Genomic DNA, 15,530 nt, shown 5'->3' on the forward strand with positions numbered 1-15,530 from the left:
AACGGGTCCCCAACGCCGCGTCTTAACCAGGCCCGAACCGACCACCGCCAACCTTCCCTGACACGCCTTTGCCCCACCCGACCCCGCCCGCCCCCACGTGACGCCCACGCCCCGCCCACTGGCGCCCACGTGACCCACGGTCGTCCCCGCGCGCGGCGTGGATCGCGGCCCAAGCCGCCATTGTTCCGCCGAGGGAGGACAGCGGGGCCTGGCGCTGGCGCCGAGACGCCGCTTAGCGGCCGCCACTGGAGACACTCCCTCCCGCCTCCCGGGTCTCCTGGCGGCGGCGGAGTGAGGCTGACAGCGGGGAACCTGGGAGACCCCTCCGCCCTCCCCGCGGTGGCAGCGGCCGATCCCCGGCTCCGGCGCGAGGGACGGCCGCGATGCGCTCGGCCTGAGGTTACCCGGCCCGGCCCTTCCTCGCTTCCCTCGACTATTCCACTGCGTCTCCGCGCCCCGGCGTCATCCTGCGAGTCCCTCTGACGGGAGGGAAGATGGCTGCACGGAGCTGGCAGGACGAGCTGGCCCAGCAGGCCGAGGAGGGCTCGGCCCGGCTGCGGGAAATGCTCTCGGTCGGCCTAGGCTTTCTGCGCACCGAGCTGGGCCTCGACCTGGGGCTGGAGCCGAAACGGTACCCCGGCTGGGTGATCCTGGTGGGCACTGGCGCGCTCGGGCTGCTGCTGCTGTTTCTGCTGGGCTACGGCTGGGCCGCGGCTTGCGCCGGCGCCCGCAAAAAGCGGAGGAGCCCGCCCCGCAAGCGGGAGGAGGCGGCGGCCGTGCCGGCCGCGGCCCCCGACGACCTGGCCTTGCTGAAGAATCTCCGGAGCGAGGAACAGAAGAAGAAGAACCGGAAGAAACTGTCCGAGAAGCCCAAAGTGAGTATGGGATGAGCGGCAGTAGAGAACGGGCGAAGGGCGGGCGTGGAGACCCTCGAGCTTGGGGGAGGCCGCGCCCCAGCCGGGAAGGAAAAGAGTGCTTAGTCGAAAGCCGAGAGGCAGCACTCCCAAGTGGAGGAGGAGGTGATAGGTGGTCATGTTATTTGGGGAATGGGGGGAACTCAGGAAGTATAGGACGAGTGGGGAAGCCCAGTTTCGAGGAAGGAAGTTAGGAGGTCTGGGGGTCCGTTCAGATAGGCGCCCAGAGGTCAAGCCATCTTTGGGAACCGTCACCGCTAGAATAAGCACAGCATCCTTCCTTGAGGCCTGCAGAGTAGGCTGCATGTGGAGCGTAATGGGACCTTAAGGTGGTGTTAGGAAGTTGTATAAAGACTGCGCTCGGAAGACAGATGTCTATCTCAAGTCACATTGAGACAGTAGGCAGTGGAAGAAGTGCGGTGACCTAGAAATTCTGGGGCTTACACAGGATTAAAGGTGTCCAGGTCTAGACGCGCTTCCATTTTAGTTGGGACTGTTAAAGGGAAATGGTTGCCCATTCTTGTTCTGGCAAATGTGGCCAACAGAGGCCGGAACGGGAGCAAGGCAAGAGGGGGTCGGTTACCTAATACGCTTTGAGGTGTATGGTCCTGTGAGAAAGAGCTAAGGCGAGTTCAACGAACGAGTCTGTTGCACACTCTGTGGCGTGGTAGATTTGTGAAATAGAGTAAAGGGAGATGACAGGGCAGAATGGTGAAAGCCGAGAGAGGAATTCAGGCACCGATTTACTGGGCCACGTGTGGAAGTTGCAGAGGGCATCACGTCTGTCTTAGGCCTTCATGTTTTACGTTTACATTCTTTATTGCCATTCCCATGGTTCTCCCATTATATCTTTCATAGTTTTATGTATTTTTAAAAATATTTTACATTTGAGCAAATTGAGACTATGGAGGGTATGCAGAGTTAGAAACAGCACCTAACCTATTTTTATATCCAGCGAATTAAGATCTTCACCTTTTCAGTACAATTCAGTAAGCCAGTACGAAGGCCCTACCATGTGAAATTTGCACTCTGGTGTTTGGAGGGCAGTGCAAGGTATACACGTAGAGTCAGTGTTGGAGAGTAGTGGAGACAGATTCATAAATAATTAGAATTTTGCATAGACTGATAGGTGTTAAAGAGGTTTTAACTGAGTGTTAATGAGGTTTGGAGGGTAGGAGACATTTCACTGGAGGGCTTTAGGAAAGTTGTTGGAGGAAATGGGGTTTGAGTTCCAACTAACAAGAGTTTTGTTGGTAACAAACTCTAATCTCTAGATTAGAGATGTGACAGGTCACAGTTAGTGCATTATGAGGCCTGGATAGGCCTTCACGTTTTGCCTGCTGATTAAGAGATGCAAGATACATATGAAACCTGGAAAAGGCACAACTTTGTCAATGTGAATACTACCATAAGTTAGGAGAGGAGAAAATAGAACTGATTTGGAACATAAATAATTTAAAAATTTGTGGAGACTATCAAGAATTACCAATTATCAAAGTAATGTTATGGTGAAAATAGAGAACCTTGCTCCAAGGTAAGGAAAGAAGGTGATCTTGAAAGAAACACATTCAGCACAAACCCATGTGGATGAAGCACATTGTGAAAATTTCAAAGCCCTATTTGGGACATCTAGAAATTTCAGATAAACTTGAGTTGAGAGAGACAGGTTCTCCAAGAACCCATCCGACATGCGTTATAACACTCAAATGACTCATCTGAAAGAATACAGATTCCGGCGAATGCTTATACATTACTGTGAAAAATGCTCAGTAGACTTAAAAGACTTACCCCCTCATTTTCATTCGAGTTAAGGAAGTGGGGAGTAAATAAGTAAACCTAGCGTTAGCTTTGAGGAGTGGAGAATGGGAAGACTGTATGGCTGAATGTTAATTGGGTGAGGAAGTATCCTTATCTACCAAATATTGAAGATGTATTCGAGAAGTTTAACCAACATTTACAAAATTGTGACTTTCAAGCTTTTCTGACTGCAACCCACAATAAGAAATACATTTTACATTACATTACACACATAAAACTGTTCTGTTTTTCTTTAATGTTCATGACCCACTAAATTCATTTCACATTTGACTGTGAGGCATGACCCACAGTTATGGGGTAGCTTTACAGGGCAAAGAAGTACAAGCTGCCGTTTGGTACTCATTAGATACCTTTAACTGTGCTAAGTATTGAAGAAAAGCAAGATACTGCTTACAAATTGAAGGCGGTGAAAAGGCATACAATATGGGCATATCTCTCTGTGACAGGGATACAAAGGTTAAAGCTCAGTTTCTCCCCAGGGAGCTTTTTGTTTCAGTCGTGGAAAAAGATATACTTAAGAAATTAATGATACAACTGGATGTGGACCCAGGTGGGCGTGAAAGGCCTTGTCACAGAAGCTGACTTTGAAAGTGGGTAGGAGTCCCCCAGGAATTCAAGAACGACCTGGGCAATATAGTGAGACCTCATCTCTACAAAAAATTTAAAAAATTAGCCCAGTGTGGTGGTGTGCACCTGTAGTCCCAGCTATTCTGGAGGCTGAGGTTGGAGGATTGCTTGAGCCAGGAGGTGGAGGCTGCAGTGAGCCAATTCGAGGCCCTGTCTAAAAAAAGGGGGGAAGGGAGGGCAGTAAGAGCAAGATAATGTGAGAGGCCTGAGAAACAACAAAGGCCCAGGATTGAAAGAAGACAACTCTGTCAGCCTGGCAGGAATGGGAAACTCTAAACTTGAGTAAGGCATTTCACCTTGCTCTGTTCAGTGTATCTTGTTTACAAATTGGAAATCTTAGTTGAGTTAAAACACTGCAGTATTCTTCAAAGTGTTATCCCTGGCTACTTGCAATGAGTCACTTTGAATGCTTGTGGAAATGCTTGGGCCAGGCACAGTGGCTTATGCCTGTAATCCCAGCACTTTGGGAGGCACTGTTGGGAGGATCACTTGAGCCTAGGAGTTTGACGCTGTGATGAGCTATGATCAGGTGACTGCACTCCAGCCTGGGCAACACAGCAAGACTCTGTCTCCTAAAAGAAAAAAAAAAAAAAAGCTTGTAGATTCCTGATCTCTGATCTTTTCGTTCCATTATTTTTAGCTTTCTCTTAAATCACTCCAAATTTTGCGACTCCTGTTTTCAAATTTTTCATTTGTAGAGTAAATAGTGGCGAAATCTGTATTTACCTCAACCTGTTTATAAGCAATTTCTGAAATTATTTTATCAATTTGTTTTTTATCCCCTAATAAAACCATGCCATAGATCTTTTAGGGTATGAATTACAGTTTGTTCCCTAATTAAAAGTGAGGGGGGCCACTTTTTACTGGGCTCAGTTCTTGGCATTTTTTCTTTTCCCCCCCACCCCTGTTCCTGGCATTTTTGGAAATTATTATCTTGTATGTATTTTTCATGACATCTACCTCAAAGTCTGTATTAAATGGGCACTCAAGTATTTTTTCACTTGATTTTTAATCTGAGTAATGACTTAGATTGAAGTGAAGTCTGCGAAAACTGGTCTGTAACAATTGGCTTTGAATTTCAACTGGAAGCACATAATCAGGATTAATATCAAAGAAAATTGTCTTTTTTTTTTTTTTGAAACAGTCTTGCTCTATTGCCCATGCTGGAGTGCAGTGGCGGTTATAGCTCATAGCTCACTGCATCCTCAAACTCCTGGCCTCAAGCCATCCTCCCACTTTGGCCTCCCAAAATGTTGGGATTACAGGCATGAGCAACCTCACCCAGCTCAAAAATTTATTTTAGTGGACAAGTTATTTGCATATTAGTGTAGGAATGTTTATAAAGATTTGCTATAGTGTAATTGCCATATCTCTAAGCTCAATGAATAAAATAATAGTGTTTCCTTTTGTTTGCTACCAGATAGCCTTGCACAGTGCTTGGTACTCAAAAATAATTATTGAATGCATAATATAGTAAGATGTCCAACAAAAGTATTTATACAGCTTACTCCTATTATTCATGCTTGGTAAATACCTATGTGAGCCCCCTTTTTCTCTTTAAGTGGAAAGTGGCTGTTTGCCTCATCTGGCTGTAATTTTGTGAGGTGAAGCACTGCCTATATAATGACCCCATAAGATTATGATATTGTATTTTTACTATACCTTTTCTATGTTTAGATACACAAACACTTACCATTGTGTTACAGTTGCCACAGTATTCAGTACAGCAACATGCTGTACAGGTTTGTAGCCTAGGTTTGTGTCAGTATACTATGTGATGTTTGCACAAAGATGCATTTCTCAGAATGTATTCTCATTAAGCAGTGTATGACTGTATTCTAATAGTATGCAGTGTCTTTTGTAGTCATTACTTCTGTTCCAGTTTCACTGCCACTGCCCTACTTTAGGACTTTATTACCTTTTGTTTAGACTGTTCTAACATCATCCTAACTAGTTTTCCTGCTTCCAGTTTCTTTTTTGCCAATCTTTTCTACCCACTCGTGTGAGTAGAGTCTTTTGAAGCCCAACCCTGATCATGTGACTTTGATGTTCACATCCTTTCAGTAGTTTCCCCATCACCTGTTGAATAAAATGCAAAATTCATGACATGGCACTCGAGTCTCTTCATGATCTAACCCTACCTTAGGCTTGTCTCTCACCATTACTCCTAAGACAAGAAATAATTCTGCTTAGCTAGATTTCTGTGTCTCTTTATTTATGATTATTTTCATTTTTGTTGTTGTTGTTTTTGGAGACCAGAGTCTCACTTTGTCCCAGGCTGGAGTGCAGTGGTGTGAACACAGCTCACTGCAGCTTCCACTTCCCAGACTCAAGCATTCCTCCCACCTCAGCCCCTCGAGTGGCTGGGATTACAGGTGCACGATACCACACCTGGTTATTTTTGTACTTTTTGTAGAGATGGAGTTTCACCATGTTGCCCACGCATGGACTCAAACTCCTGAGCTCAGGCAGTCCACCTGCCTCAGCCTCCCAAAGTGCTGGGATTACAGGCATGAGCCACTGCCCCCGGCCATTATTTTTATCTATTAAAAGACCCTTCTTTCTATCTCTCTACCAATTTCTTTTCTTTTCTTTTCTTTTTGAAACGGAGTGTCACTCTGTCGCCCAGGCTGGAGTGCAGTGGTGCGATCTCAGCTCACTGCAAACTCCACCTCCCGGGTTCACGCACGTTCTCCTGCCTCAGCCTCCTGAGTAGCTGGGACTACAGGCGCCCACCACCATGCCCAGCTAATTTTTTGTATTTTTAGTGGAGATGGGGTTTCACCGTGTTAGCCAGGATGGTCTCGATTTCCTGACCTCGTGATCCGCCTGCCTCAGCCTCCCAAAGTGCTGGGATTACAGGCATGAGCCACCAGGCCCGGCCAGTTTCTTTTCTTATTTTTATTTTTAAATTTCTTTTCGAAACAGGGTCTGGCTGTGTCAACCAGGCTGGAGTGCAGTGGCGTAATCTTGGCTCACTGCAACCTCAACCTCCCAGGCTCAAGCGACTCTCCCACCTCAGCCTCCTGAGTAGCTGGGACTACAGACGCACACCACCATGCCCAGCTAATTTTTGAATTTTTTGTAGAGATGGCGTTTTGCTATGTTGCCTAGACTGGTCTTGAACTGCTAAGCTCAAGTACTCCACCTGCCTAGGCCTCCCAAAGTGCTGGAATTACAAGCGTTAGTCACTGTGCCCAGCCTCTCTCTACCAATTTCCACCTGTCCTTCAAGGCCCAGCTGCAGTGCTGCTTCAACTGTAAAGCCTTCCCTAGCTCCTCAGCTAGAGTTATATATTGTAACACCTAGCATAATGTTTCGTGTTTAGTGGAAACTATGGAATTGCCTTTTAAAAATTTATTTATTTATTTATTTTTTGAGCTGGGGTCTCACTGTCACCCACGCTGGAGTGCAGTGGTGTGATCTTGGCTCTCTGCAACCTCCGCCTCTCAGGCTCAAGCGATCCTCCCACCTCAGCCTCCCGACTACCTGGGACCACAGGCACACACCACCACACCTGGCTATGCCATATTGTTTAGATTAGAATGGTCTAATATCACCATTTCATTTGGTTCTAATAGTCATTCAGCAAGTATCTGAGTGTCTGCCCATTATCCATATTAGGAGCACAAAACGCATTACTAGTGGTCACACACATAAAAGGTATGTTATAAATAGTACTGGAACAGATCAGCATAGTTGATTTTCTTTATCTGCAGAAGTTCTATAAAGTTCCCACTGAATTAGCAAGTACTAAACTAGTGCTCCTAGGGAAAGTGCAAAATTAGGTCCAAGCCTCTGGTCACAATATTTTCACCAATACCATATACAATACATGGTCTTGTTTTATGAGTGTTTCTGTTTAAAGACATTTAATTTAATTGATTCATATCATTGAACTCACGGCCAATAGCACTAGAACTCATGCCTGAACAAAGCTTATCTAATGCATTATTTTCTTTGTAAGGTATATCACAGCCTTCTTATGCTTAGGAATGCTCAGCAGCACTTCAGCACTACAGTTGGGGACCATTATAAACAGCAAAATCACTAACAAAAAGCACCCAAAAAATGCAAAATATGTGACACTAAATAGTCCTCAGAAAGGATACTTATTTACAGTGATGAGAGCTGAAATAAGAAGGTGGAGGCTTGACCTCAGCTGGGAATGTGCCTGCAGAGTGACTTTGCAGCTCTGTGCATGTGCGTGTCCAGAAATGACCGTGAAAGTACCTCAAGTATTGATTTTGGAGTAACAAATAAATTTTAGTGAAAAGATAAATTCACCAATACAGAATCCATTAATAATGGGGAACAACTGTATATTAGTCCCTATCTGTATCTAGACTGTTCTGTCATCTCCAGAACCTCATGTCTACATGTATGCTTGATTTCTCTGATTGGGAGTCTGATACGTATCTCAAACTTTTTAAAAATTATCTCAAACTTTTAACATCTCCAAAACAGAACCTATTATTTCTTGCCTTCTCCCAGTCTTCCCTATTTCTGTAAGTGGTAAATTACTCTACCATCCATTCAGTTATTCAAGCCAAAAATAGAAGAATCATCCTTGATTCTAATCTTTTTCTCACCTCTTCATATCTTCCTCACCTTATATCTAACCCATCAGCAAAGTACCATCAATTTTATCTCCAAAATATATATTCAATCTGACTACTTTTTCTAGTGTCACCTTAGCTCCCCTAACCTGCAGCAGTAGCCTTCCTTTTACTGCATCCAGTCCTTTCTCAACGCACTAGTAATGAGTTTTTTCAAAGCAAATCACTATGCTGCCTAAAACCAACACTTAGTAGCTTTTGCATTTAAAATCTAAATCTCTTTCCATGGCCCGTATGGCCCAGCACCTGCTTTTCATTCTAAGCTGAATTTGTGTGAGTTTCCTGTCATTTGCTGTTCAGTTCTTGAAACTCTTTCACAACCCAGCGCCTTTACATGAGCTATTATTAACACTTTTGGAACAATCTTTCCCCCACTATTCTCCTCAGCCTTTAGTTTTCACCTTAAAAGTCACCTTCCCCGAAAATCCTTTCCTGATCACCCTATGTGAAATAGACATCCCTTTCTATTTTCTGTCTCAACCCCTTAGATGTTTCCTTCATAGTGGTTATTACAGTTTGTACATTATTTGTTTACTTACCCATTTACTTTTTTGGGTTCTCTCCCTCCCCAGATTGTAAACCGGTGGCAAACTGCCTGGCGTATAAGTGCCTTTGGTAATTATTTGTTGAACTAAAAGCTGAACAAAGTGACTAAAATAACATCTCACAGTTAATTGGATAATCTGTTATTGAGTTAAATAAATTTATCTCTTAATATATTCCCAGTAGAATTGTGTTTTTTTATTCTTAGGTAATAGTTTTGCTGGTAATATTAAAAAAGTTATATCACTTGCCACCTATAGAGTTTTCTTTTTACCTTTAAGTCACTCTTTGTCAGTTTTAATTCTTAAGAGAATAATCAGCCAGGTGCGGTGGTTCACACCTGTAATCCCAGTACTTCGGGCGGACCACCAGGTCAGGAGATTGAGACCATCCTGGCCAACATGGTGAAACCCCATCTCTACTAAAACTACAAAAATCAGCCAGGCATGGTGGCGTGCACCTATAGTCCCAGCTACTCAGGAGGCTGAGACAGGGGAATCGCTTGAACCCGGGAGGCGGAGGTTGCAGTGAGCCGAGATCGCACCACTGTACTCTAGCCTGGCGACAGAGCGAGACTCTGTCTCAAAAAAAGAAAAAAAAAAAAAGAATAATCATTTGCTCAAAAAAATCCAAATTATAAGTAAAACAAATATTCATGATTTTACAGAAGAGAAATCTTGAGATTCAGAAAAATTAACTGACTTATTCAAGGTCATAGGACAAAGGAGTTTAAAAGGCAAAACAATATCCTAATTTCTAGTCTAAGAACTTTGTTATTTCCACTCTACCTCTCTGGTTTCGATGGCATGTTCCAGGATATTAAATTGCATTCAGAGAACAAATAGAGTTTTCCCAGTGAGTTATGGCTTTATTGCTTTTAAAATTTCGAGTCAGAAGTTTCTGCTGAAAATTATAATGACCTTACAAAAGCTCCAGAATTTTGGCTCCATTTGTTTGGTTATGTGACAGGATTTTTTCATCTTTTCTTTTCATTCTGCCAGAGGCCTAACGTAAAAGACCTTTAACAGTTCTGACAGAAAAGACCTTTAGTAGTTGTGCCCATCTTAGATACCAAGAACAACAATAAACCCTATGAACATTCATTTTTGTTGTGCTTTGGCATTACTGGTTAGTGTACTATTTCTCAAGGCTGTAAAAGCCTTGAGAGTATTTTTAAATTATTATTCAAGCAAAATTCAGAGATATAAGTGAGGAATTGGTGTTATTTGATCAGTTTTAAAATGCACTTGTTTTTCTCTCCAGCTATGCTAGTAGTTTTCAAACTGCTCCATGGAATGCCAGGCTTCCCAGAAGGCATCCGTCAGAATGTCTTAGACATTTTTCTTCTAAGAAAGAATTATACAGATGTGTATTTGCTGTATCATTTGTAGTCCTTATCATACCCATCAGATGTAAAATATTGAAAACCAATGCTTGTATTTAGTTTTTCAGAAATCATCTTTGGCATATCTTGGCCATGTGACAGTTATTACCATCTCCCCATCTCATAAAGGTAACCCTGAGCATCCCTGCTGTAGTCAACAAGGAGACAGTTTGGAATCCTGAGTTGAATTTTTGGCTGTTTAGAAAGCACAGGGATCTTTACCACTAAAGGAAATATCTCAGTATATAGTGAGATTTTGCAAATTTGAACCATAGGTTATATTTGTAAGATTGTTCTCTCAGTTATTAAGAGTTTGAAATTGGGGTTGAACTGTGTCTAAAGCTATGGTTTATGTGTATGTTTAGTTTATGTAGTTGCTGTGTGCATAACATTTGGCAGGGGAAAATGTTTTTACTTTCAAACAAACTGACAAGAAATTGTTCCATCTTGAATTTGTGTAAGAACGTTTCAGAACTAAAACAAACTTACCAAAACTAGGTCTTGTCCATTAAATGAGATAATGCGTGTAATGTGTCTAGCAAGTACTTGGAAATTATTATTGTTAAGACTGTCTTATAGTCTAACTTATCAACTACAATGATGCCTCTTCTGAATTTCCTAATTTCTTGCCTTTATCTTTTTTTTTTTTTAATTATACTTTAAGTTCTGGGATACATGTGCGGAATGTGCAGGTTTGTTACATAGGTATACATGTGCCATGGTGATTTGCTGCACCCATCAACCTGTCATCTAGGTTTTAAGCCCCACATGCATTAGGTATTTGTCTTAATGCTCTCTTGCCTTTTATCTTTTTTATGATGAGGATTATATATATACACACACACACACAATGCCTCCTGTATGCTCAGTATCACTTTTAGCCAATAAAATTGAGATTCTGGCCAGGCACAGTTGCTCACACCTGTAATCTCAGCATTTTAGGAGGCCAAGGCAGGTGGATTGCTTGAGCTCAGGAGTTTGACACTAGCCTGGGCAACATGGCAAAACCCTGTCTCTACAAAAAATTAACTAGGCATGGTGGTGTGTGCCTGTAGTCCCAGCTACTTGGGAGGCTGAGGTGGGAAGATGGCTTGAGCCTGGGAGGCGGAGGTTGCAGTGAGTCGAGCCGAGATCACACACCACTGCACTCCAGCCTGGGCAACAGAGCCAGACCCTGTCTCAAAAGAAAAAAATAAAAATGAAATTCCAGTGTTTGTCCAGGGTGAAACACATTTGGGATCTCAATCCTGGTCTCCCAGCCTGCTTTCAAAACCTGTACTCTTGAGAGTGTGAGGGAGAGTATACCTTTTGTTTTGTACTTTACTATATGTTATTGTATACCTGTCTTCCTTTACTAGGTTCTAAGCTTCTTGAGTGCAGGCATTGAGCCTTATCTTTGTTTCAAGGTGTTAAGAGTTCTGCATAGCACTCTACTGAGTGAATATTATGTAATTTTCTTGGAAAACAGCAGTTTTTTAAAAAGAAAGATAACATTACAATGCTGCCTCTAGAGCAAGCCTGGACTATTTTAAGCCTCTGAGAGGATATATTTGCTTATTATTTTTAATCCATTAACTTCCCAAAAGAATTTGCATCTGGAGCATTGGACCTGATGGATGCCTGTCCAGGCCCTTTTGACCACCAGGACTTAACATTCATCTGAGCTTGTTAATATAAAAAAATGGCCCAAATGCTTGAACGTGGGAATAAAGGGCATAGGCCATCATAGCTTTGGAGAGAAAAGGGTAGACGGGCCAGGTGCAGTGGCTTATACCTGTAATCCTAGCACTTTGGGAGGCCAAAGAGGGAGGATCACTTGAGCCCAGGAGTTCAAGACCAGCCTGGGCAACATAGCAAGACCTCATCTCTACCAAAAATTTAAGAAAAATTTTAAAAAGAAGGGAAAAACTGTTTCTGGAGCAGGTATGCTTTCACATGCTCTGTCACTTGGTGTAATTCAAATGTAAATGTGTAAGACAAAGTATATATTTTTCTCATATTTACAAATGATGAAATCAAGGGTTAAGTCAAGGAAAATGGTTAAAATCACAGTGATTAAATATGGAAGTTAAGCCTTAATCCCAGGTTTGTCAAACTCCAAAGCCCATAGTCTTCTCATATTCCATTTTTTGGGGGAAGTTGGTAGACTGCCCTTCTAGTTTCTAAACCTAAGAAGTTTCTAGGTCATTTGAATCATGATCTTTACATGTTGTGGCTAGAAATACAGTTTACGTAACTAAGTGAAAGTAGGGTTCTATGTGATTTCATTTTAGAAGTCAGTGTTAAACCTTATATATGCTTACCTCAGATACAGGTTCTTTTGCAAGTTGGAATCAGTTTTAACAAGTTAAGAGTGCTCAAATGACATCTGTTATTAAGCATACTTTTTTTTTTTTTTTTTTTTTTGAGACAGAGACTCGCTCTGTCCCCAGGCTGGAGTGCAGTGGCGCGATCTCAGCTCACTGCAACCTCCGCATCCCAGGTTCAAGTGCTTCTCCTGCCTCAGCCTCCCGAGTCTGGGACTACAGGTGCTTGCCAGCACACCCAGCTAATTTTTGTATTTTTAGTAGAGACGGGGTTTCACCATGTTGGCCAGGATGGTCTCGATCTCTTGACCTCATGATCTGCCTGCCTCAGCCTCCCAAAGTGCTGGGATTACAGGCGTGAGCCACCGTGCCCGGCCTATTAAGCATACTTCTTATTCTGAACTTTAAAACTCCTTGAGGCAGAAACTCCATTCATATGTCCTTGTTCCTACAGTCCTTAGCCTGATGCCTGGTACTTGAGTACCAGGAATTGAGGCCAGGTGCGGTGGCTCACACCCATAATCCCAGCACTTTGGGAGGCTGAGGCAGGCGGGTCACTTGAGGCCAGGAGTTCTAGAACAGCCTGGGCAGCATAGCGGAACCCGCTCTCTACTAAAAATACAAAAATTAGCCAGGCATGATGACATGTGTCTAATGCTGAGACACAGGAATCACTTGAACCTGGGAGGTGGAGGCTGCAGTGAGCCAAGGTCATGCCACTACACTCCAGCCTGGGCGACAGAGCAAGACTGTGTCTCAAAAAAAAAAAAAAGTTATGGAATTGTATGAAATTAATAAATTGAAGATTGACTAGTCTGCTATGTGGCCCCCTCTTACATTCCATTTTCCCCTGATATATAGATATCCTCATTCTGGTTTACTACCACCCCTGCCAGCACATACATACAAAGTGTTCCTTTGTGCATGCATTTTAAAAAAAGAAAGATCCAGGTGTGGGGGTCGAAGAAAATTATAACAAGAAGGTAAACATGGTGATGTCTACAAGGAGTTTATCCATCAAAATAAAATGATTCTATCATTTTTCTGTTACTGGTTGATTTTCAACAAATTTGAAAGATATCTTTGGTCTAACTTAAAACATAGATTGTAAGCTATATATGAAATAACTTTGATTGGCCCTGGTGGGGAAGACCTTAAAGTTCTTGAGAGAATTTTAAACTGGGGTACAATGAGAGGCCCATGTAATTGCTAATCTGTAGAAAGCCACCATATAGATTAAAGTTCCATGATCAGAGAAAACTACTTTTTTTTTCTTTTGTATTTTTTTTTCTTTTCTTGAGACAGGGTCTCACTTTTTTGCCCAGGCTAGAGTACAGTGGTGCAGTCACAGCTCACTGCAGCCTTGACCTCCCAGGCTGAAGTGATCCTCCCATTTCAGTCCCTCGAGTAGCTGGGACTACAGGGGCATGCCACCACACCCGGCTATTTTTTTAAATTATTTTTTGTAGAGACAGGGTCTGTCTATGTTACTTGGGCTGGTCTCGAACTTCTGAGCTCTTGCTGATCCTCTTGCCTTGGCCTCCCAAAGTGCTGGAATTACAGCCGTGAGCCACTGCACCTGACCAACAACACTTTCATGTAAAACCCATATTGACAATCACAAGGGTAGACACATTGGATTTGAAGTTTTGGTTTGTAATTAGTTACTATTCATGTAAGTAGATCTATATAATATGCTCCCATTTAGGGATTTGCTAATTTAAGTATGATTAGTGATTTTCCAGGGCAAGGCCTTCTCGACCAGCTGTTGGCAAAATGAAAGGACACATTGGCTCTGCTGTATGAAGGAGAATCACCTCAGTGTATTCTTTTTTCCAGCAACCCAAGAATTATATTGACTTTACTTTTGGGATAGGAGGCTTATTGTTTCATGGCATCAGGCATGTGTGGGAAGTTGCTGATGACTTCTGGAATCCCAGTAATGATGAAAGCTATATAAATTCTAAGAGTTTAGTGGAAAATTGGGAGATCTACACAGGTCAGAGAGAACAGCTGCGATTAGAGCTATTATGTAGATTGATGTTGCAAAGAAGGAACTAAAATTGGCACAGATAGGAGCGTATGAGCACCTTTGGCTTGCTGATCATTTCAGAGCCTATGGAAATGGGAACTGAATGTTCCTGAATCTGTGGGAATGCAGTTGGTCACTTTCAGACTTTGTGTTGTTTGAAAGAAAAGAATGTTTCATATTTCATTTGGGAGGCTACATCAATATTGTTTGCAGTTGTTCTCACATAAATGGCATTGAACTTGTTGGTGAGTTTTTAAGACAGTTTTTGACCGAATAATTTCTAATCTTCCTAGTATTTAGTAAATAAATCCCAATGACTCAGTGTCATGTAAATGAGTAAAATGAAGGTGGTATATGGCAGTATATAAGTGATTATGATGGAGAGTTTCCTGAAGGGATTAATTAAATGAAGTTTAGCAGATATAAGTTTTGTGAGTTGCCAGTTGAAGAGATAGGAGACTATAGAACTGAAGCTGCAAGATTGTTCAGTTGGTATAAGTCTTACATGGAAAAGTGTGGCCACAAGAAAATCAGAAAAGGCAAGTTTGGCCAGAGAAGATAGCATGAACTAAAAGTAGCATATAAGAATAAGATGATGATATTAGAGGCCGGGTGTGGTGGCTCACACCTGTAATCCCAGCACTTTGGGAGGCTGAGGCGGGCGGATCACGAGGTCAGGAGATCAAGACCATCCTGGCTGACACAGTGAAACCCCGTCTCTACTAAAAATACAAAAAATTAGCTGGGCGTGGTGGCAGGCATCTGTAGTCCCAGCTACTTGGGAAGCTGAGGCAGGAGAATCGCTTGAATCCAGGAGGCAGAGCTTGCAGTGAGCTGAGATTGCGCCACTGCACTCCAGCCTGGGCAACAGAGCGAGACTGCGTCTCAAAAAAAAAAAAAATGATGATATTAGAAAGTAAAATTAAACAAAGTTTTGTATTCCTGATGTAGATACGGCCCTAAGTCCACATTCCATTTTGAGGTTTCTTACCTTTACCCACGTACTACCTCCCTCTTCCTTCCTTCCCCCATATGCATAAATAACAGAAGAGGGATTAGAAGAGGCAACATTAGAAGTGGCAAGACAGCATAGAAGAAAGAAAACCAAATCAAGAGTAAGAAAACCTGGTTTTAGCATTAGCTGTCTGACTTTAACAAGTTGCTTCAGACCCAGCAGATTATATTTGGGTTAATTAGGAATTTAACCAGCTAAAAGACAGCTTTTGTTTTGATTTTCTGCCACAGATCTTTGTAAAGCCTACAAATTGAATTTGAGAATATAAATGG

The 15,530-nt window shown here is 42.6% G+C and overlaps 1 protein-coding gene across 10 annotated transcripts in view, besides 5 other annotated features; it reads left to right on the plus strand.

Annotated features, from left to right (window-relative positions):
• Positions 22-1,002: an enhancer, noted in NCBI's record as "H3K27ac hESC enhancer chr8:98656262-98657242 (GRCh37/hg19 assembly coordinates)". NCBI's record gives its function as "activates a minimal SCP1, AML or CMV promoter by ChIP-STARR-seq in primed H9 embryonic stem cells {active_cell/tissue: H9 hESC(primed)}" and the evidence as "EXISTENCE:reporter gene assay evidence [ECO:0000049][PMID:30033119]".
• Positions 50-509: a silencer, noted in NCBI's record as "silent region_19391". NCBI's record gives its function as "represses an Ori minimal core promoter by ATAC-STARR-seq in GM12878 lymphoblastoid cells {active_cell/tissue: GM12878}" and the evidence as "EXISTENCE:reporter gene assay evidence [ECO:0000049][PMID:35858748]".
• The window catches only part of MTDH (metadherin), an 86,077-nt gene continuing 70,718 nt past the window's right edge, over positions 172-15,530 (plus strand). For all 10 annotated transcript variants that reach the window (NM_001363137.1, XM_011517369.4, NM_178812.4 and 7 more), the window contains exon 1: positions 172-875. In NM_001363137.1, coding sequence (NP_001350066.1) covers positions 495-875 — 381 coding nt within the window. In that variant the 5' untranslated portion in view covers positions 172-494. The remainder of the gene's footprint in view (positions 876-15,530) is intronic.
• Positions 780-849: a silencer, noted in NCBI's record as "silent region_19392". NCBI's record gives its function as "represses an Ori minimal core promoter by ATAC-STARR-seq in GM12878 lymphoblastoid cells {active_cell/tissue: GM12878}" and the evidence as "EXISTENCE:reporter gene assay evidence [ECO:0000049][PMID:35858748]".
• Positions 1,003-1,981: an enhancer, noted in NCBI's record as "H3K27ac hESC enhancer chr8:98657243-98658221 (GRCh37/hg19 assembly coordinates)". NCBI's record gives its function as "activates a minimal SCP1, AML or CMV promoter by ChIP-STARR-seq in primed H9 embryonic stem cells {active_cell/tissue: H9 hESC(primed)}" and the evidence as "EXISTENCE:reporter gene assay evidence [ECO:0000049][PMID:30033119]".
• Positions 1,133-1,301: a silencer, noted in NCBI's record as "fragment chr8:98657373-98657541 (GRCh37/hg19 assembly coordinates)". NCBI's record gives its function as "represses an EF-1alpha promoter that drives an FKBP-Casp9 reporter gene in an ReSE screen in phorbol 12-myristate 13-acetate-treated (for megakaryocytic differentiation) K562 erythroleukemia cells {active_cell/tissue: K562(+PMA)}" and the evidence as "EXISTENCE:reporter gene assay evidence [ECO:0000049][PMID:32094911]".

Source organism: Homo sapiens, chromosome 8 (genome assembly GCF_000001405.40).
Source record: "Homo sapiens chromosome 8, GRCh38.p14 Primary Assembly".
In the NCBI taxonomy this organism is placed as follows: Eukaryota; Metazoa; Chordata; class Mammalia; order Primates; family Hominidae; genus Homo; species Homo sapiens.